This window comes from Homo sapiens, chromosome 11 (genome assembly GCF_000001405.40).
Source record: "Homo sapiens chromosome 11, GRCh38.p14 Primary Assembly".
Classification (NCBI taxonomy): Eukaryota; Metazoa; Chordata; class Mammalia; order Primates; family Hominidae; genus Homo; species Homo sapiens.
In genome coordinates, this window is record NC_000011.10 from 66,781,198 (window position 1) to 66,804,630 (window position 23,433).

A 23,433-nucleotide genomic window follows, 5' to 3' on the forward strand; every position below is an offset into this window, starting at 1 on the left:
GGTTGATATTTTCCTACAGGTTTCTAAGACTATTCATTTTTCTTCAGTCTTTTTTTTCTTTATTCTCCAGATTGGATAGTTTTTGTTATTTGTCTTCAGTGATTTTACTGACTCTTCTGTCACCTCTAATCTGCTATTAAACCTATCAAGTGAATTCTTCATTTCAATTATTTAACTTTTCAGTTATAGAATTTCTTTTTGGTTCTTTTTGTATAGTGTTATCTGCTGACATTTCCTATCAGTTCACTCATTAAGGCCGCCTTTTAAGCCTTTGAACATATTTATAATAGATTCTTTAAAGTCTTTCCTAAATGTAATATCTGTACCATATCAGGTTCTGTTTCTTTTCTTTTTTCAGAGACAGGGTCTCACTCTGTCACCAGGCTGAAAAGTGCAGTGGCACAGTCATAGCTCCTGCAGCCTCCAACTCCTGGGCTCAAGTGATCCTCCCACCTCAGCCTCTTGAGTAGCTAGGACCCACAGGCATGTACCACCACGCCCGGCTAATTTTTAAATTTTTTTGTAGAGATGAGTCTTTCCATGTTGCCTAGGCTAGTCTCAAACTCCTGGCCTCAAGCGATCTCCCTGCCTTGGCCCCTCAAAGTGCTGGGATTATAGGCATGAGCCTGGCCCTCAGGTTCTGTTTCTATTAGTTGCTTTTTTTCCCCCTTGACTGTGGGTTATCATTTCCTATTTCTTTGCATATTTAGTACATTTTTGTTTTATACTGGGCAATATGATCATATTCTATATTGTGTTATCTATCTCTGGAGAGTATTAATTTTTGCTCTAGTAGGCTATGCACCTTGACCTTGTACAGGCTTGTTTTTATGCATTTTAAAGGGTAGGTCTGTAGAAAGCCAATGCATTTTTCAAACTCTTCTAATTTGATACCATTTAGCCTCCAAACTCTATCTCCTCTGTGGGTTTTGTCAAGGAATGGCTTTAGACTTTTTTGGGGTGGGTCTAGAGCACACCTTCATCGACAGTATGGTTTTTATTACTAAAGCATTATCTGTGGGGCATCTCAGCTAGACACCAGCAGTTTTAACAAGGTCTCCCCATTTCTAGCTAGGCCTGAAGGCCAACATTTTTCAGCACTGGAAAATCTTGCTAGTGTCTTGTTACATTCTCAACTCCATAGCACCTGCTCTGTGGGAAATCATATGTAGTCTCACTCTCTGCATGGATAGTCCAGACCTTGGCCAAGGACTCATGGGGAGCTCCTACACAGACTTTAGTACCCTGCTCTTTGTATCTCCCTCTTCTCCAGTGCCCTGCCCTGCAGATTCCAGGTACTTTCACAACTCCAAAATCTATTCTCTGCCTCCTCAGCTTAGTGGGACCACTGTCCTCTGCTTGGGTTCCATGTCCCTGTTCTGTAGATGGGAAAATTTCCCCAGGCAGACACCCAGGGAAATAACAGGACTAACCTGGTGAGTTTCCCTTCTCTCAAGGGATTGTAACCTTGTGCTATCTATTGTCCAGTGCCTGAAAACAACTGTCTCATATATTTTATCCAGTTTTACAGTAGTTTTTGGTTTGAGGGCTCATTTGGTTATTTCATTAATGCTGGGAGGAGAAGCCCCAGTACATAGTTTTGCTATGTGTTCGTAATGTCATCTGATTGAAAATTTTCTATCTACTTCATCTTTAACAGTTGAAGACCTATGTGAAGAGGTAACTTGATACTGATAATGATCTCTTTCTTCCTCCTTATCCCCACATGATCTCAGCAAAAATGTAAACTCATGTTTAAATGGACATGGTGGTTTGTTTAGTGGTTATTTGAGGACTTGTAGATGGTAAACATTTTAAGTCTCTCATTTTGTAATGGTAGTTTGGCTCTCTTAAAAGTTCAGATTTGGCTGGGTGAGGTGGCTCATGCCTGTAATCCCAGCACTCTGGGAGGTTGAGGCAGGAAGATCTCTCGAGACCAGCCTGGGCAACATAGTGAGACCCTGTATCTACAAAAAATTACAACAATTTCCCTAAACAGTTTAATATAAAGAAAAAAGATTAGCTGGGCATCGTGTACACCTGTAGTTCTAGTGAGTTGGGAGGCTGAGGTAGGAGGATCCTTTGATCCCAGAAGTTGAAGGCTGCAGTGAGCTATGATCACCCCACTGCACATAGCCTGGGCCACAGAACATGATCCTGTCTCAGACAGACAGACAGACAGATAGATAGATGATAGGTAGATAGATAAGTAAGTAAAAGAGTCCAGATTCAAAATTACTTCAGATCTTTGAAGATAGTACTGGATCATCTTCTGACATTTAGCATTGCTAACTCATGGGTTTTTTTTGCTAATTTAATTTTTTTGGTAGCTCGTAGGGTTTTCTGCTTATCCTTGTTATTTTGGGTTTCACTGTGATGTGTTAACTATGTGGCTTTTTTAATTTTTGCTTTTGCCTTGTTTTTTCGAAATTTAGCCTGCTTGACGTTTGGTAAAACTGTTCAGATAGCACTTACATCTGTCTTTGTTTTATATTTCTCAGTCATTATTTCTTCTGGATCTATTTTTAATGTCTCTTGCCTTTTCTTTTAATTGATATAAAATTCATATATCATAAACACAACCATTTTAAAGTATACAATTTGGTGGTTTTTAGTATATTTTCGGGATTGTATAACTAATATTTTTTGGCAGGGTCTCACTCTGTCACCCAGGCAGGAGTGCAGTGGCGTGATCATGGTTCACTGCAGCCTCTACCTCCTGGCCTGAGGTAATCCTCCCACTTCAGCCCTCTGAATAGTTGGGACTAGAGCTGTGCACCACCACACCTAGTTAATTTTTTTGTTTTTGTTTTTTTTGGTTTTTGTTTTGTTTTGTTTTGTTTTTGTTTCTGAGATGGAGTCTTGCTCTGTTGCCCAGGCTGGAGTGTAGTGGCGCGATCTCGGCTCACTGCAAGCTCCACCTCCTGGGTTCATGCCATTCTCCTGCCTCAGCCTCCCGAGTAGCTGGGACTACAGGCGCCTGCCACCAAGCCTGGCTAATTTTTTTTTGTATTTTTAGTAGAGACAGAGTTTCACTGTGTTAGCCAGGATGGTCTCGATCTCCTGACCTCGTGATTCGCCCACCTTGGCCTCCCAAAGTGCTGGGATTACAGGCGTGAGCCACTGCACCCTGCCATTTTTTTGTATTTTTTATAGAGATGGGGTTTTGCCAAGGGGTGGTCTCAAACTTCTGGGCTCAAGTGGTCCTCCCGCCTTGGCCTCCCAAAGTGCTGGGACTATAGGCATGAGCCACTGCTTCCTGCCTGTATAACTGTTATCACTATCCAATTCCAGTACATTTTCATCCAGAAAAAGAAACCGTGTACTCATTAGCAGTCACTCTGCTTACTTTCATTCTCTATGCCTTGGCAAACACTAATCTACTTTCTGTCTCTGTCGATTTGCTTATTTTGGACATCTCATATAAATGGAATCATACAATATGTAGCATTTAGTGTGTGGGTTCTTTAAGCATTATATTTTCAAGGCCTATCCATGTTGTTTCATGTAACAGTACTTCATTTCTTTTTATGGCTGAATACTCCCCATTTGGTTAAGCCATTCATCATTTGATGGACATTTGGGTTGTTTCCACTTTTAGCTGTTCTGAGTAATCCTGCTATGAGCATTCATGTACTAAGTTTTCTTTTACATTTGCTCTTTTACTGTGTCCAATCTAACCATCCATAGAGTTTTAATTTCAAACACTGTATCTTTAATTTCTTTTCTTTTTTTTGTATCTTTAATTTCTAAGATTTCTTTTTTTTTTTTTTTTTTTTTGAGAGTCTCGCTCTATCGCCCAGGCTGGAGTGCAATGGCGTGATCTCAGCTCACTGCAACCTCCACCTCCCTGGTTCTAGCAGTCCTCCTGCCTCAGCCTCCCAAGTAGCTGGGATTACAGGCATTCACCACCATGCCCGGCTAATTTTTTAAATATTTTTAGTAGAGACGGGGTTTCACCATGTTGTCCAGGCTGGTCTTGAACTCCTGACCTCAGGTGATCCACCCGTCTTAACCTCCCAAAGTGCTGGGATTACAGGCATGAGCCACCGTGCCGAGCCAGTTTCCAAGATTTCTAATACCCCATTACTTTCTGTTTAATTTACGACAGTGTTTCCTTGTTTCATGGCTTCTTTTTCTTTTTAAAGGTATAAAATATAGATACTTATTTAAAAATCTCTCCCAGATTGTTCTATTAACTTTATTTCCTTAGGTATAAGTGCATTGGTTGATGTGTATTATCGTTTTCATGGTATTAATCTTCTTTGCCTGGTAATTTTTAATTAAGAGCTAATTGTTCATGATATGTTTAATCTGAACACATTTTGTGTTGACAACTGTCCCGTAGGAGGCTCTCTGAGTTGCTGAGCCTTAGCCTTGTATGATGTATACCTAGGATTAATCTTTGTATGGGTGGTAAGATGCAAAGCTCTTGCATCTTAATAGATTATATAGTTCTGAGTCCTTTCACCACTTACATGAAATGGCTCTATGGCCCTCATCTCATATCAGTGAGGCTGCTGCCAGAATCCCCTTGGCTGTAACCAACATTCAGGTAGACAGGCAGTGCACCTCTAGTCCTTGTTCATGTGTTGCTCCCTTGCTTAGACCTCCTGTGTGTGGCTCTTGCTCTTAAACCTATGAGTGTTACAGTATTAGCTCTATGTTTTTTCCTAGTCTAGGCCCAAATACTATGCATCTTTTTAGTTCTTGTCTACTATTGTGGAATCTCTCTTTTGTTCCCTTTTTGTTGTTCTTTTCAAAGGAGGAGAAAGAAGAACACCTTTCCATTTCTGGTCTATAAAGATTTCTCTCTTCTGGCCAGATATGGTGGCTTACACCTGTAATCCCAGCACTTTGGGAGGCCAAGGCGGGCAGATCACTTGAGGCCAAGAGTTCAAGACCAGCCTGGCCAACATGGCAAAACCTGTCTCTACTAAAAATACAAAAATTAGCCAGGCATGGTGGCACAACCCTGTGATCCTACTTACTCAGGAGGCTGAGGCAGGAGACCCTGTTGAACCTGGGAGGCAGAGGTTGCAGTGAGCCAAGATCATGCTACTGCACTGCAGCCTGGGTGACAGAGCAAAACTCTGTCTTAAAAAAAAAAAAAAATTTCTGTTTTCTTTTTTTCTCACCATGACTATGTATTTATTAAGATTTAAAAATATTTGTATTATTTTATATGTTTGAACAGGAAGATGAGATTTCAGCATATGCTTAATTCATCTTGAAATCAAAGGCTTTTACTTAGTTTTTGTTTCACCTTTTTACATTTAACTGTAGTCAACCTATCTGGATTTGTATGTTTGTGTGTGTGGAGTGAGACTACTGAAATTGATTTCCCCCCAAATATCTACACAATTTATTTTAAATTAGTAAGATTTCTGAAGAATTCAGTTATTTACAAACCTTTTCTCATATATCCACATTTACCCCATTTCTGTACTGTCTTACTAATCAAACTGAAATAGGATTCAGGTACAATTTTTTCTTATTTCACAGAATGGTAATTGAATCACAGAAAAGGGGGGTTGCCTTAGGTCAGAAAGTTGATCAGTGGTGAAACTGAAGATTGACGTAAGACATCCTGGTTTAGTGCTAAGTTCATTAAACTTCAGTGTAGCATACCCTTGCTGTCCTATTATCAAGGGCTTTGTAACTGAATTAGGTTTGAAAAACAAACTAATGGCAAGAACAATATTACCCATTAAGATTGATAGCTACAATTTTTGTTTTGTTTTTTTTTTTTTGAGATGGAGTTTTGCTCTTGTTGCCCAGGCTGGAGTGCAATGGCACGATCTTGGCTCACTGCAACCTCCACCTCCCAGGTTCAAGCAAGTCTCCTGCCTCAGCCTCCTGAGTAGCTGGGACTACAGGAGCATGCCACCACACCTGGCTAATTTTTGTATTATTAGTAGAGACGGGGTTTCACCATGTTGATCAGGCTGGTCTCGAACTCCTGACCTCAGGTGATCCACCCACCTTGGCCTCCCAAAGTGCTGGAATTACAGACGTGAGCCACCGTGCCCAGCCGATAGCTAGGATTTGATCTTGGGAATGTGCACACTTTTTTGAGGTGGTTAAAACATTATGAGATATGTAGCATGAATGCCTTAGGAGAAACTTGTGCTGTTATTTTAGGGCATATTTTTTTAATCATCGTTAGGTTTTTAAAGTTTAATTTTTGTGTAATATCAACATTGTCAACCTCAATAACAAAGCAGGCCAGGCGCGGTGGCTCATGTCTGTAATCCCAGCACTTTGGGAGGCTGAGGCAGGCGGATCACCTAAGATCGGGAGTTCGAGACCAGCCTGGCCAACGTGATGAAACCCCATCTCTATTAAAAATACAAAAAAAAAAAAAAAAAGCCTAGCGGGGCATGGTGGTGCATGCCTCTAATCCCAGCTACTTGGGTGGCTGAGGCATAAGCATCACTTGAACCCAGGAGGCGGATGTTGCAGCGAGCCGAGATAGCGCCATTGCACTCCAGCCTGGGTGACAGAGTAAGACTCCGACTCAAAAAAAAAAAAAAAGGTACATGCCTGAGAGTCATTCTTGAATTTTTCAGCCTTCAGCTCTAAATTAGTTCATGTACTAGACTTGTGTTTATTACATAATGAGTTGATTTATTAAAAAATACAAGAATATCAGAACTATCAGTTCTGAAGCTATCTGGCATTAAACATGACCTTGTGGAAATTAACAGAAAATAAAAATTGATTTAGCAAATGTAAAAAATTGAAAAGATGAGGTTAAATGTCCTAATCCCATAAAGTAATTCTAAATGTTCAAGCAATTTGCTGATGCATAGCCATTTCCAGTCATATTTTAAATCTTGTAGATAATCTTTTCATCAGGGAAAAGCCTTCTTGGCTCACCAGTTTAATAAACAAATCCAGAAATCCTGGTTCTTATCCAAACTGCTTGTTTGACTTTGTTGCCATTTCTTCTCACACAGAAATACAGTCCATACTGCCCGGAATCTCTGCAAAGCTGACTTGGACTTCAGAGGAAGGCAGCTATTCTCAGGATATGACAGGGGTAACACCCTTCCAGATGATTTTTGAGGCAGGTTTTGTTGTGGTCTTATAAATTACTAATGATTTTATTCTTATTTTTCTGCAATCTAATAACAAGAAAGAAAAGCCTAGGTCCATCAAAGTTCCAAGCTGGAATGAAATAAGGCAATGGTTCCCAAACTTGCCTGTGCAGACATTAGATCACCTAGGAGCTCCCAAAATACTGTCGTCTGTGTCCCACTCTGAGTGATTGTGATTTAATTGGTCTGGGTGTTGTAATTATTAGTCTTCTTGGGCTGCCATAACAAAATACCACAGACTAGATGGCTTAAGCAATAGAGATTTATTTTCTCACAGTTCTGGAGGCTAGACGTCCAAGATCAAGGTGCTGTCAGGGCTGGCTTTGGTGAGGCCTCTCTTCCTGGCTTGTAGACTACTGCCTTGTCACTGTGTCCTTACATGGCTTTTTTTCTGCATGTGGATGAAAAGAAAGAGATCTCTAATGTCTCTTTATTTTTATTGAAAATTTTTTTGGTAGAGATGTGGTCTTGCTATGTCGCACAGTCTGGAGTGCAGTGGCTATTCACAGGTGCAGTCATAGCACACTACAGACTTGAACTCCTGAGCTTAAGTGATCTTCCTGCCTCAGCCTGCCGAGTAGCTGGTAGCTGGGACTACAGGTGGGAACTACTGGCACCTGGCTCTGGTGTATCTTTTTATAAGGACACCAGTCCTATTAAGACCTGGGGTCAGTGCCCTACCCTTGTGACCTCATTTAATCTTAATAACCTCCTGAGGGCCCTGCCTCCAAACACAGTCACTTTGGGGCTTAGAACTTCAGCATATGGATTTTGAGGGACACACTCAGTCCGTAATAGGTATGGCATAGGCTTTGGAACATTTTTTAGATCCCAGGTGATTCCTAATATGCAGATGAATTTGAGAACCACTGAAACAAGCCCTTATTTGAATTTGGATCTCCTAATAAAGAAAATTAAAAGTGACTCCCAGTGCAGATCCTACCTGGATACATTTTTATTAGTTTGGTTTAGAGATCTCTTTATCGACTTATTTGTAGTCCAGATTTATGAGGGTGATAATTCATTCTCCATTCCCTTTAACAGGTCTCTCATCTCCTATTTTCCTTCCTTAGAGTTGGTGGAGACATAACGAATTAGAGTGCTTTAAACATTCTCCCAGGAAGCCCTTGGGCAGCCTTTCTCCATGTTTGAATAATTATATGCTCATTCTGAAAGGAATGGGTATGGTATCAGGACAACAGATATCCCTGGCTGTGCCTTATCTTCTTTAGGAGAATGGAGGGTAAACAATCTGGAGCAATTAATGGTTAGTCAGCTCTGAAACTATTCATGTCAAGTAGCAATAAAAAGGTGATTCCAGTGAACCAAGAAGGGCAATTCTAGGAAATGAGGTTCTGTGTTTCAGTCAGCCTGAACAAGCAGTAAGTTGTATACATAACATTTATATATATTATGTAAGCATCCTGACAAGTCTATGAAGTGGGTAGGATGAGGATTATCACCCCATTTTACAGACCAGAAAGTTGAGATTCAGAGAACTTGACTGACTCTCCCAGTGTCATACAACAGTTAAATGGCAGAATTAGAACTTGAACCAAAGTCTGACTCATATAGATCAGGGCTATTTCAATATTTACTTATTCATCCAGACGTGTGTTTGTTCAAGTCAGTGTCAGTGAGCTAGATACTATCTGTAGGTACAGTGTCTTAAGATATGTTACTTGATCCTGGCTGGGCGCCGTGGCTCACACCTGTAATCCCAGCACTTTGGGAGGCTGAGGCGGGTGGATCATGAGGTCCGGAGATTGAGACCATCCTGGCTAACACGGTGAAATCCCGTCTCTACAAAAAATACAAAAAATTAGCCGGGTGTGGTGGCAGCCTGTAGTCCCAGCTACTCTGGAGGCTGAGGCAGGAGAATGGTGTGAACCCGGGAGGCGGAGCTTGAAGTGAGCCGAGATGGCGCCATTGCACTCCAGCATGGGTGATAGAGTGAGACTCTGCCTCAAAAAAAAAAAAGATATGTTACTTGATCCCAAGGAACCTGGAATATAAATAGAAAGATCAAGAAGTAAACACGTAATTACAATACGGTGTGATTCCCAGGATGGATGATAGAAGTGAGCCCTGAATGCTATGTTAGCATGGAGGAAGGGCATCTAATCCATGGGAAGAGGTTGAAGTCTGGAGGTCTTGATGAGACTGAAAAACAGATTTGCTGGGTGTAGGAGATTCTGACACTTGAAAGAATAGGAAGTTGTTATCAGAGTGATAAAGTTTCTCTTATTTCTTTATTGCAAAAGTAGTGTTTCCCTCAGAAAAATCAAAGTATGATCAAAACAAACATTTAGAATACACATAATTTGGCCTTTCAAGGCAGCCGTTATTAACACCTTGGTGTACATCTTTTCACAATAGAGTGGGACATTTCAATTTAAGATTTTCAGAATGGAACAGTTCCAAGCCGTGGCCATGGAAATAGGTGGCTGGGAATGAGTGGAGGTCAAGGTCATTATTGTTGAAGAGGTCAGGGAACTGTGAGACTAAGTTATTGCTTAGGCTAGTTATCTGCTTGGATATGGATGTCAGTCAAGATGATGACAGCATTTGGCATACAGAGGAAAACTGTGAGCTTAGTGACCAGCAGTCAGCTGGTGATGGAGATGAGAAGTAAAATAATAGTATAGTCAAACGGCATTAGCCTCAAGGGAACAAGGATTTCCTCATGCATTTCTTCCATTATATCTCATTGTTTTTGGTACTGTGCAGCTATGTAGACAATATTTGAATGAAGAGAATGAGAAGAGATAAAAGGGAGATTGTAAAAGATTTCATCATGGATGCCTCAATTGAGGAGAAAGGTTAAGTAGCAAGGTTCACAGCAAAGGCTAATAGAGACTCCATGGAAAAGCTATAATAAATGATCCATTAATTTGGGCCTGCGAGGAAAGTCAATTGCAAGGAAGACTGAGGAAAGTTTCATTTAGGAGAGATATTGGGTTTTGTGTTTATGCCCACAGCTAGTCTTACATCTTGGTGTTCATTAGGCTGGGTAACATGTCCCTTCAAAAGCAATCTGATTTTATAAGATCTTCTTGACAGCTTTATCCAGTTTAATATTTATTTTTGTAATAATACTAAGTGATCAAGTGAATGGAGTTATACATATATACATACAAACATATATATGCACAAACATATCTATATATTTATACATCTGTACTTCTGTGTGTATGTATCTAAGGTGAGGGGGCAAGAGAGAGAGACAGACTTTCTTCTAGAAAGTGATATAAGGGCTCATGACTGTATAAGTTCATATTTGAAAACATACTTCTATATTCTGTCATATAATTAGACATATTTAAAGGTGAAGGCTAAAACCATATGATTCAATAGTAGTTTCTGCTGTGCACGGCTGGCAGCATCTATTTTTTTCATAACAGTAAATAAGTAAATTCACTGCTTCTGTAGGTATGTCAGGCTGGGGTACTGGGTCTCTAACACCCAACACCCAACTGTAAAAGGCTTTGTCATCTCTCTCTTCCTCTTTCTAATAATTTTTTTTTTTTTTTTTGGGAGGGAGTCTTGCTCTGTGGCCCAGGCTGGAGTGTAGTGGCGCGATCTCAGCTCACTGCAAGCTCCGCCTCCCAGGTTCATGCCATTCTCCTGCCTCAGCCTCCTGAGTAGCTGGGACTACAGGCACTCGCCACCATGCCTGGCTAATTTTTTATATTTTTAGTAGAGATGGGCTGTGTTAGCCAGATGGTCTCGATCTTCTGACCTCATGATCCGCCTGCCTCGGCTTCCTAAAGTGCTGGGATTACAGGCGTGAGCCGCCGCACCCAGCTTCCTCTCTCTAATAATTCTATGAGTAGATCTTAAAAGGGTCCTCTAACCCCTTTTAAGGGGTTAGTTGTGTTGTATTAATTATCCTCTCTGACCTGACATTAGTCACTTTATCCTAACTCTGGGATAGGTGTCGGTCCTTCTGCTGTATTCCTTTAGCACCTCATTTATCTAAATTTCACATTGTCATATAAATTAGTCTGTCTCATCTACTGAACTGTGAACTCTTCTAATTCTGAGATTGTCTTATTTATTTTTATAAGCCCAGGTACATAATAAGCCACATTAATATTTTATGAGTGAGTAAATGCATATATTGAGTAGCCATACATAAGCATTGCTTGTCAGGCTCCATAAAAAATAATGATGGATTATATATTACCCCATTCAGATAGCTACCTGTATACACAGAAAATGAACATTTTTGGAGAGGCAGCATTGGATAGTAGAATGTGGACTTTGGAGTTAGTCAGCTCTAGGTTTGAATCCCAGTGCTGCCACTTAACTAGCTGTGTATGACCTTGGACAAATTAATTAGCTTATTGAGTCTCATTATCCTCTTCTATAAAATGGAGTTATTTCTTACTTGCATAGAAACTGCTTGACATGTAGCAAGTAGTCAGTAAATATCATCATTATTCATTGTAGTCTCTCTCCAGTAGTTGCTCAAGGAACTTTCACTTCGGTTGTCTTACTGTTAGATATAATTAGCCCTCTCTATGATACGCCCTATAATCACCAAGGTTACAAAGCTTTGAAAGTGTTCCAAGAAGTTGTTTTGGAAGTGGTAAGCACAGAAAATGCTTTAAAGACTATTGCTTTTTGGTTTAAACATTTTATACTAAAATTTTAAAAATGAAGGATGTGACTATGATATGTATACCAATTGCAGTTATTATTTAATTACCACTGTTAACATGCATGAATAATCCTAGACATATTTACAGAATTTTCTAATAATCCCCCATCCATTTTGGTAATAATGTTTTTTTTTTTTTGAGATGGAGTCTCACTCTGTCACCCAGGCTGGAGTGCAGTGGCACGATCTCAGCTCACTGCAACCTCCATTCCAGGTTCAAGTGATTCTGGTGTCTTAGCCTCCCAAGTAGCTGGGATTACAGGTGCACGCCATCTGTAATCGGCTAATTTTTTTTTGTATTTTTTCAGTAGAGATGGGGTTTCACCATGTTGGCCAGGCTGGTCTTGAACTCCTGACCTCAAGTGATCTGCCCGCCTCAGCATCCGAAAGTGCTGGGATTACAGGCATGAGCCACTGTGCCCAGCCCATTTTTGTTAATTTTTTCAAATACTTTTTCAAATAATTTTTTCTTTTTTTGTTTTTTTTTTTTTTTTTTTTAGACAGAGTCTTTCTCTGTCACCTAGCCTGGAGTACAGTGGTGTGATCTTGGCTCACTGCAACCTCCGCCTTCCAGGTTCAAGCAGTTCTCTGCCTCAGCCTCCCGAGTAGCTGGGATCACAGGTGCCCGTCACCACTCCAGGCTAATTTTTGTATTTTTAGTAGAGACGGGGTTTCATCATCTTGGCCAGCCCTGGTCTTGAACTCCTGACCTCAGGTGATCCACCCGCCTTGGCCTCCCAAAGTGCTGGGATTACAGGTGTGAGCCACTGCACCTGGCCCAATTTTTTCTATCTTTAATCCCAACCTATTGCCACAGTTTTTGACTTCTTTTTCAGTGTACTTATAAAAAACATTAAAAGGCCAGGTGCAGTGGCTTATGTGTAATTCTAGTGCTTTGGGAGGCCAAGGTGGGAGGACTGCTTGAGGCCAAGAGTTTGAGACCAGCCTGGGCAACATAATGAGACCCTGTCTCTACAGAAAATTAAAAAATAAAAATTATCCAGGTGTGGTGATACACACTTGTAGTCCTGGCTATTTGGGAAGCTGAGGTGGGAGGGTTGCTGGAGCCCAGAAGTTCGAGGTTACAGTTAGCTATGATCATGCCACTGCATTCCAGCCTGAGTGACAAAGCGAGACCCTGTTTCTAAAAAAAAAAAAAAAAAAAAGTAATAAAATAAAAATATTGTAATAGTTTATCCTTCTATATTTGCATGTTTCTTCTTTTTGTATTATCATATTTTGACATCTGGGACCATTTTTTTTGTTTTTTGTTTTTAACATATACCTAGTACATGGCTGTGTATTCTCTGAGCCAACAATAAAAACCTACTGATTTCTGATTGTATTTCTTCTTTCATTTTTTTGGAGTTCTGCATTTTCTAGGAGACTGTTTCTAACTTTGGTTTTAGGAACACTATAATAGTGAGTCAGTATAGGTAAGTGGTTAATGCTAAAGATTTATAGCCAAGTTGACCTGGCTAACCTTGGACAAGCTGTTTAACCTTTTTGAGACTCTTTTGTAAAATATTTATTTTTATTTTCCTTCATTTTTAAAAATCCAGATCCTGCACAATCTTTTATTTATAAAATTTGGGTACCTAATAGAGTTTTTGTGAAGGTTAAATGAGATAATATAAATAAGATACCTTAGCACCATCCCTGCTGTAAAATCATCACCTAGTGGTAAATCTTATATTTGTAGGGAAGTGTTTGTAGTATATTGGCAAGAACATGGGCAATTAGTATTAGAAAGACTTAAGGTCACTCACAAAACAAAAAAGAAAGACTTACAGTCAAGTTCTGGCTATACTACTGAACAGCTAAGTGACCTTAGGCATGTTGCTTAACTTCTCTGAGCCTTTTTAAAAAAATCTACAAAGAAGGGGCCAGGCGCAGTGGCTCACTTCTGTAATCCCAGCACTTTGGGAGGCCGAGGTGGGCAGATCACCTGAGGTGAGGAGTTCGAGACCAGCCTGGCCAACATGGCGAAACCCCGTCTCTACAGAAAATACAAAAAATCAGCCAGGCATGATGGCACGCACCTGTAGTCCCAGCTACTCAGGAGGCTGAGGCAGGAGAATCGCTTGAACCCGGGAGGCAGAGGTTGCAGTGAGCCGAGATCACACCACTGTACTCCAGCCTGGGCAACAAGAGCAAAACTCCATCTCAAAAAAAAATATATATATATATACAAAGAAGAGATTGTAATACCTACCTTACAGGATTATTGTGAGGTAGTATATATATAGCAACTGCACAACACTTGTCACATAGTAGGTATTCAATGAGTGATATCTATTATTGTTACCATGTATAATATACACTTTCTTTCCTTCTTTTTTTTTTTTTTTTCGAGACAGAGTCTAGCTCTGTCACCCAGGCTGGAGTGCAGGGGCACCATCTTGGTTCACTGCAACCTCCACCTCCCAGGTTCAAGTGATTCTCCTGCCTTAGCCTCCTGAGTAGCTGGGATTGCAGGCGCATGCCACCACACCTGGCTAATTTTTGTGTTTTTAGTAGAGATGGGGTTTCACCATTTTGGCCAGGTTGGTCTCGAACTCCTGACCTCAGGTAATTAGCCCACCTCGGCCTCCCAAAGTGCCGGGATTACAGGCATAAGCTAACACGCCCAGCCTACAATTTCAAATATATGGATCCTTAAAACAGTTCTGTGAGGTCAAAGCGGTAGGTTTTATCCCTATTTTGCAGATTAGGAAATGAGGTCCAGAGCAGTGATTTTTTTTTTTTCAAGAGTATTTAAGTAATTTTTTTTTTTTACAGAACCAGTACTAGAACACAGGTCTTCTGACTTTTGAGCTTTTTGCTCTTCAGCTTTTCCTTATAAATAAATGTTTGGATTAATGGATTGATGTCAAAAATAGGTTCCTTTTAGTGTTTGCTCCTTCCGACTCCACTCAGATTCTTTTTTTAAAATTTCTTTCTAAAAAAGCATAACTCAGATTCTTAATACAGATTGTTCCAAAGCACATTAGGATGGTGGAGTTATTCTTACCAACTTCAGTCTGAATTACTTTTAAATTTGTCCCCAAAGGTGGTTTTGACATTATGGGTTTTACTCTGATCTTTATTCTCGTGTCTTCTGAAGTTCCGTGTAATAGATACTCTAACCCAAGAAGTGATGGCTATTTAGATTTTCTTTTGCATACAATTCTCATTCCCAAAGATGTCTCCCTTTGGTTGTCCAAAAAGCTTTCTGAGGTATAGTTACTTTTAGAAGAGGAAATACCGTTTTAATTCATTTGTGCTCTTGAGATTGTGTATGTGTGGTAGGTGTTTTTGTTGTATTATTACAGGTTGATGAAAAGCCCAGAACCTTGATGACAGATTGTCTGGTTATAAAGCATTTTTTACGTAAAATCATCATGGTGCACCCTAAGGTAAGCTGTTCCTTTGTACAATAATGATTCTCTTATTTAAGTCATTGTTTTCCAGAGACCTTTACTGTGTAGGACATGGACAGATGTGATTGGTTCTTTTTCTTTCAATGAAGATGATTAAAACGTTTAATATTTGAGGTCATGGTGGCTCATACCTGTAATCCCAACATTTTGGGAGGCCGAGGCGGGAGGATCGCTTGAGTCCAGGAGTTTAAGACCAGCCAAGGCAACATGGTGAGACTCTGTCTCTACAAAAAAAATTTTAAAAATTAGCCAGGTGTGGTAGTGAGCTCCTGTAATCCCAGTTCCTCAGGAGGGTGAGGTGAGAGGATTGCTTGAGCCCAGGAGGTTGAGGCTGCAGTGAGCCATGATTGTGCCACTGCCCTCCAGCCTAGGTGACAGAGCGAGACCCTGTCTTTGGAAAAAAAAAAAAAAAAAGACAACTTTCAACTTTCAATATTGAATTGATTTGGTTTCTATGTCCTTAAGACAGTTGTTTTTTTTTTTTTAGAGAGACAAGGTCTCACTATATTGCCTAGGCTAGTCTCTAACTCCCAGGCTTTAACAATCCTTCTGCTTTGGCCTCCCAGTGTGCTGGGATTACAGGTGTGAGGCACTGCACCTGGCCCAAGGCAATCTTTTTTTTTTTTTTTGAGACAGAGTCTTACTCTGTTGCTTAGGCTGGAGTGCAGTGGCATGATCTCGGCTCACTGCAACCTCTGCCTCCCAGATTCAAGCCATTCTCCTGCCTCCGCCTTCCTAGTAGCTGGGATTACAGGTGTGCACCACCATGCCCGGCTAATTTTTGTATTTTCAGTAGAGACAGGGTTTCACTGTGTTGGCCAGGCTGGTCTCAAACTCCTGACCTCAGGTGATCCACACACCTCAGCCTCCCAAAGTGCTGGGATTACAGGCCTGAGTCACCACACCCAGCCAAGGCAATCTTAATGTTGGTTATGTGTTATAGCGAGAAACCTCTGGATAGAGAGAGCTTTGTTTTGGGTTATTTTCACTTTTTTTTATTGCTTTATTGTATCACTTTAGATACCTCTTCCCTCCTCTGTGCTTTGTTTTTTGTTAAAGCTAGATAATAAACCTTGCTGTTTATCTCCTTTTCTAAAGTGACTATAAGAACAAATAAGGACTTTTTTTTTTCCTGAGACAGGGTTTTGCTCTGTCACCCACGCTGGAGTGCAGTGACTTGATCTCGGCTCACTGCAGCCTCTACCTCCAAGGTTCAAGTCATTCTCCTGCCTCAGCTCCCTGAGTAGCTGGGATTACAGGTGTGCACCACCACACCTCGCTAATTTTTGTATTTTTAGTAGAGATGGGATTTCGCCATGTTGGCCAAGCTGATCTTGAACTCCTAGCCTCAAGTGATCCACCTGTCTCAGACTCTCAAAATGCTGGGATTACAGGCGTGAGCCATCATCATGCCTGGCCAAGAAATTTTGATAGAATATTTTGAATATTAGAGAGCTAAATTTTTTATTATCTGTAGTTAGATATGTTTATAAAGATAAACACTTAAGCATATCTATGACATCCCCCTTCTGCCATCTTCCTACTTTTTGCCTATTGTTTCAGTCACTATTCTAAGTGCTCTTTGTGCACTCGCTCACTTAACTCTTACAACACCCCTTGTGAAGTAAGTTTTATCATCATCATCCGCATTTTGTAGCTGAGAAAACTATGGTACAGAGAGTAAATAACTTGAAGAGTCAGGATTTGAACTCAGGCAGTCTGGTTCTAGAGTCACTTCTTACCTTATGTTACACAGAAAGAAAAATATAGGTGAATGGAGAGAATAATTAGAACAGTGAGGTACACTGGAGAGGATATAAAAGTCAGATGGAGAAGAGGAAGAAAAAGCAAAGAAAAAAGCATGGAATGTTCCACATATGAAAATAATAGAAATAAAAATGGATAGTTCCTTTAAAAAGGAGGTGAAGGGGCTGGGTGTGGTGGCTCACACCTGTAATCCCAGCACTTTGGGAGGCCGACTTGGGCGGATTGCTTGAGCTCAGGAGTTCCAGACCAGCCTGGGCAAGATGGTGAAACTCTGTCTCTACTAAAAATACAAAAATTAGTCGGGTGTGGTTCCATGCACCTGTGGTCCCATCTACTTGAGGGGCTGAGGCAGGAGAATCGCTTGAACCCAGGAGGTTGAGGCTGCAGTGAACCGTGTTTACACCATTGCACTCCAGCTTAGGTGACAAAGTGACTCTGTCTCAAAAAAAAAAAAAAAAAAAAAAAAGTTAAGGGATAGGGGTTGAGAGAATGGCAAAGAGGCAGGGATGATTTCTGATAATTTGTGACAACCTGGAGCTGTGATATAGGGCTCAATATATTTAAGATTTAGAATTTAAACACAGGCAAGCATTAAGTATGTTTAGGGAAAATACAAGTGATAAAGAATGTATTTTTTGGCCGGGCGTGGTGGCTCACGCTTGTATCCTAGCACTTTGGGAGGCCGAGGTGGGTGGATCACAAGGTCAGGAGATTGAGACCATCCTGGCCAACATAGTGAAACCTTGTCTCTACTAAAAATACAAATATTGGCTGGGCACAGTGGCTCACGCCTGTAATCCCGGCACTTTGGGAGGCCGAGGTGGGCAGATCACCTGAGGTCAGGAGTTCGAGACCAGCCTGGCCAACATGGCGAAACCCCGTCTCTACTAAAAATACAAAAATTAGCCGGGCATGGTGGCGCACGCCTGTAATCCCAGCTACTCAGGAGGCTGAGGCAGGAGAATCACCTGAACCTGGGAAGTGGAGGTTGCAGTGAGCCGAGATTGTGTCATTGCACTCCAGCATGGGTGACAGAGCAAGACTCTGTCTCCAAAAAAAAAAAAAAAAAAAAATACAAATATTAGCTGGGCATGGTGGCGCGTGCCTGTAGTCCCAGCTACTCAGGAGGCTGAGGCAGGAGAACTGATTGAACCTGGGAGGTGGAGGTTGCGGTGAGCTGAGATTTTGCCACTGCACTCCAGGCTGGGAGACAGAGTGAGACTCCATTTCAAAAAAAAAAAAAAGAATGTCTTTTTCCTGGCTGAGCACGGTGGCTCATGCCTGTAATCCCAGCAGAAGTAAAACTTTGGGAAGCCGAGGTGGGTGGATCACTCACTTGGGTGGTCAGGAGTTCAAGACCAGCCTGGCCAACATGGCGAAACCCCATCTCTACTAAAAATACAAATATTAGCTGGGCACAGTGGCGCGTGCCTGTAGTCCCAGCTACTCGGGAGGCTGAGGCAGGAGAATTGCTTGAACCCAGGAGGCGGAGGTTGCAGTGAGCCGAGATTGCGCCATTGCACTCTGCACTCCAGCCTGGGCGACAGACTGAAACTCCGTCTCAAAAAAAAAAAAAGTCTTGTTTCTCTAGGTTCATCCGTGTCACAAATGACAGGATTTCCTTCTTTTTAAAGGCTGACTAGGCTGGGTATGATGGCTCATTCCTATAATCCTAGCACTTTGGGAGGCTGAGGCAGGAGGATCACTTGACCTTGGGAGTTCAAGACCAGCCTGGGCAATATGGTGAAACCCTGTCTCTACAAAAAAATGCAAAAAGTAGCTGGGTGTAGTGGCACATGCCTGTGGTCCCAACTACTCAGGAGGCTGGGGTGGGAGGATCACTTGAGCCTGGGAGACCAAGATCACACCACTGCACTCCAGGCTGGGCAACAGAGCAAGACCCTGTCTCAAAAAAAAAAAAAAACCACAAAAAACTAACTGTATTCCATTGTGTATATACCACATTTTCTTAATCAACAGAAAGACAAATACTGTATGATTTCACTTATATGTGGAATCTGAAAAAGTCAAACTCATAGTAGAGAATAGAATGGTGGTTACCAGAGGCTGGGAGTGGGTTAAGGAAGGAAATAGGGAGTTGTTAGTTAAAGTGTACAAAGTTTCAGTTAGACAGGAGGAATAAGTCTTTAGAATCTTATTTCACAGGGGGGTGACTATAGTCAATAATAATGTATTATATATTTCAAAATAGCTGAGAGTAAATTTCAAATGTCTTACCACAAAAAATGCTAGTAAGTTATGTGATAGATGTTAATCTACTTGATTTAATCATTCCACATTATATACATATATCAAAACACCACATTGTACCCTATGAATGTATACAGTTATAGTTTATCAATTAAAAGTAATGTTAATTTAAAATTTTTTAAGCTTATTCTTTTCCTTTAGGGATTAGATATGGAAGTTTTTAATCTGTATCTTGGCTCATGTTAAATCTCACACTTAACTTATTGTTTTGCAGGTCAGATTTCATTTCAGTGTAAAGGTAAATGGAATCCTCTCCACAGAGATCTTTGGGTAAGTTCTTAGGTCTATGGCTTAAGATGATGCTATGGCTCTGCAATTTTTCTCAGCTATTATTGTCCTATTTCCAAAAGGTTCACAGTTTGATATCTTGACCCAAAGTCACCTTGAAACTAATTTTCTGACACCCCCACATTTTATTATTTTAGTAGATTCATCCCTGTCTCTAGAGGGGGTAAACTTAAAGATTGCCATTTTCCCCTTGGTTAATTAGTTACTGAATTCTAGTAATCGCTGGGGTGGTAGTAGTCATGGGCCAAAATTTATGTCAAACAGAGATTGATTTTAGAATCTTTGAGAGATGGCTTAGCTTTGCTTTGCTTTGCAGGGTGGAGAATGAACCCACTTTGAACCTTGGGAATGGAATTGCTCTTTTGGTCGACTCCCAGCATTATGTGAGGTGAAGGCGTAAAGCCTTGTTGTCCCTCTGCATGTTTTACTCTCCTCTCGAGTACGAATGTGGGTAGAAATTGGAAATTGTCTCACTTGTCATTTGTAAGTGCCAGGTGTCAGCTTCTCTATAAGAAAAGCAGAAGTAAAACTTTTTTTTATGTTGAAAACTGCTATTTTAAGTTATTTATGTATTTGAATCTATTCTAAATGACCTGAAGACATGTGCCTTCTTCTCTTCAGGCCTTATTTTACACAGACCCTGCTAGTTCCAATCCCATTTAGGCATGAGAAGAGAAGACTATGAATTTAAAACTTTACTTGAATTCTTGGCTAGAGAGATAGTATGAATACAAAGGAATTCAGTGTACATTATTTTCTGTGCATCAGCATTTTGCATAGGTTTGGAAATCATCTCTCTGCCCATCTCCATCTTCTTCAGACTCCAAGAAAGTAAATCTGGCCAGGCGCAGTGGCTCATGCCTATAATCCCAGCACTTTGGGAGGCTGAAGTTGATGGATCACTTGAGGTTAAGAGTTTGAGACCAGCCTGGCCAACATGGCAAAACCCTGTCTCTGCTAAAAATACAAAAATTAGCTGGGCATGGTAGCACATGCCTGTAATCCCAGCTACTTGGGAGGCCAAAGCATGAGAATCACTTGAACCCAGGAGGTGGAGGTTGCAGTGAGCCGAGATCACGCCACTGCACTCCAGCGACAGAGCAAGACTCTGTCTCAAAAAAAATAAATAAATAAAAAATGTAAAAAATCCATGGAGGAGGTGGTAAACAATATGGAACACACAGAGCCCTTCTGTCTTGCCTTCCTGTGCCATTTAACTACCACAGAATCCAAAGTGAAAATGAATTATGTCAAGAAAAGACCTAACATATGCTTAAGTCCAATTAATTTATTTTTTCTTTTTTTGAGACAGGGTCTCAGTCTGTTCAACCCAGATGCCATCATAGCTCACTGCAGCCTTGGTCTCCTGGGCTCAAGTCATTTTCCCACCTCAGCCTCTCGAGTAGCTAGTAGCTAGGACCACAGAAATATGCTACCATACGCTGCTAATTTTTTTTTTTTTTGAGACGGAGTCTCGCTCTTTCGCCCAGGCTGGAGTGCAGATCTCACCTCACTGCAACCTCCACCTCCCTGGTTCAAGCGATTCTCCTGCCTCAATCTCCTGAGTAGCTGGGACTATAGGTGCATGCCACCACGCCCAGCTAATTTTTTTGTATTTTTAGTAGAAATGGGGTTTCACCATGTTGGCCAGGATGGTCTCAATCTCCTGACCTCGTGATCCTCCTGCCTCGGTCTCCCAAAGTGCTGAGATTACAGGCATGAGCCACTGCGCCCAGCCCATATACTGCTAATTTAAAAAAAATTTTTTTTTGTAGAGATGAGGTTGTTGCCTAGGCTGGTGTCAAACTCCTGGACTCAAGCAATCCTCCTGCCTCGGCCTTTCAAAGAGCTGGGATTACAGATGTGAGCCAATGTGTCCAGCCCTAATTTAGTCTTTATTCATTAGTTTCTGCCTCTATTTATGTGCCCAGAGGCAACACTAGTAGTCAAAGTCTCTTAAGGCTTAAAGAGACTGCCTGTGGTTCTTAGTCTGTTTTCTTATTCTCACCCAAAATTACACCTCAGATGAGAATATTTTTGTCATTTAATATGCAGGTAATAATTTCCCCACCCCATATCTTTCTTTAGTGATCCTCTAATAATAAACAATCCTTACAGGTAGCAGCTCATCATCATAGTTGTACTGACACAAGTTTAAGCCTTTGAGCCAATTTTTGTAGATGTGTTTCCTTGGATGACCTGATTAGAGACAAAGGGAAAGGTTCATTAATATTTCCTCTCTATTAATTAATTCATTCATTCTTAATCAGCTTTCTCAGGTTGACTGTTTTCTCTCTGTTTAGAAAAGAGCTATTGGAAAGTAACAAAATTTTACTAGATTCTTTCTAGGAGAGAAAGATGGCCTGGTTTTTTCTCATTGTTACTATCAAACAGCAACCTCAGACCTCTTCAGCGGAAGGTGTAGCATGCGTGAGAGCAGACTTATAAGTATCATGGGGCCAGTTTTAGGCCATTTGTGATTCATGGGCCCCCTCACACAATGCTGACCTTTGAATGAATTTGGAAATTTGCTCAGAACCAAAGATTAATTTTAGTGGAGGAAGTATACTTGAGAATAAGAAACAGGCTGGTCATGATATCTCACACCTGTAGTCCCAGCACTTTGGGAGGCCAAGGCAGAAAGATTGCTTGAGGCCAGGAGTTTGAGACCAGCCTAATAAACATAGTGAGACCCCATCTCTAATAAAATAAAATAATAGTAATTATTTTTCGAGACAAAGTCTCGCTCTGTTGCTCAGGCTGGAGTGCAGTGGCGCAATATCAGCTCACTGCAACCTCCGCTTCCCAGGTTCAAGCGATTCTCCTGCCTCAGCCTCCTGAATAGCTGGGATTACAGGTGTGCACCATCATGCACAGCTATTGTATCTTTAGTAGAGATGGAGTTTCACCATGTTGGCCAGGTTGGTCTTGAACTCCTGACCTCAAGTGATCCACCCACCTCAGCCTCCCAAAGTGCTGGGATTACAGGCATGAGCCACAATGCCTGGTCTAAAATGTTTTTTTAAAAAGAGAAACTAAGAAGCATCCGTTAGTGGCAGCAAAAGCAGGAGCAATGATATCTCTGAAATGCCAGTTTTTCTACTACTTCCATTGCTGTGATTCCCTGAGTGAGACATAAGTTATTTATTCCAACAAAACTGATATGGCAGGTTGTGTGGTTGTACATATGCTAGAGGTTACAAAAATAATTTTGAATGCTCTTTTAAATAATTTCTTAAGAGGAAAAAATGTTAAATTTGACTTGTCTGTTTTCTGACAGTAGACCAAATTTTGGTACAATTGAATCACACTGCAGCAGAATTCACCCTGTGCTAGGACATCCAGTAATGCTTTTCATCCCTGAAGACGTGGCTGGCATGGACTTGTTGGGAGAACTGATACTGACTCCAGCAGCTGCACTGTGCCCCAGCCCAAAGGTTTCTTCCAACCAGCTTAACAGGATTTCTTCAGTTTCCATATCCTTTTGATGAAAAGTTCCATCCAATTATCTTTGAAATGGGTTTTTATATCCCAGTTTTAGGAAAGCCTTTAGTATGTGAATTCTGCATCTACAAATATATATGATTTGTATAAAAACATATAATCTAATGTGAAAGCCAAGCTTGAAAATTTTGCCAGGGAACTGAAAACTGTAAAATGTGACACATGCCATGCGTTTTTCATACAATCCAATATGACTGAAGCATGAAATGAATGGTGCACGAGGAAGAGATGGGACTAGAAAAGTAGTCTGGAGTTGAATATGGTAGATCTTGAGTGCCATACTAAGGATTGTGAATTTTATTCTCTGTATAGTAAGAAACCATTGAATGTTTTGGGAGAAGTCTTTAGCAGCATTATAGAGTACGGATGGGAGACAGAAGTTAGTAATACTAAGTAAATAAGTAAGTGAACT

General features: G+C 40.9%; 1 protein-coding gene across 2 annotated transcripts in view; it reads left to right on the forward strand.

Annotated features, from left to right (window-relative positions):
• The window catches only part of TOP6BL (TOP6B like initiator of meiotic double strand breaks), a 98,748-nt gene that overhangs the window by 36,429 nt on the left and 38,886 nt on the right, over positions 1 to 23,433 (forward strand). Inside the window, exons 5-9 of one of the 2 annotated variants that reach the window (NM_024650.4) lie at positions 6,963 to 7,072; positions 15,084 to 15,167; positions 19,444 to 19,499; positions 19,834 to 19,905; positions 22,801 to 22,993. In NM_024650.4, coding sequence (NP_078926.4) covers positions 6,963 to 7,072; positions 15,084 to 15,167; positions 19,444 to 19,499; positions 19,834 to 19,905; positions 22,801 to 22,993 — 515 coding nt within the window. Of the gene's footprint in view, positions 1 to 6,962; positions 7,073 to 15,083; positions 15,168 to 19,443; positions 19,500 to 19,833; positions 19,906 to 22,797; positions 22,994 to 23,433 lie in introns of both variants that reach the window. The other variant, NM_001302084.2, reaches the window with a different exon arrangement.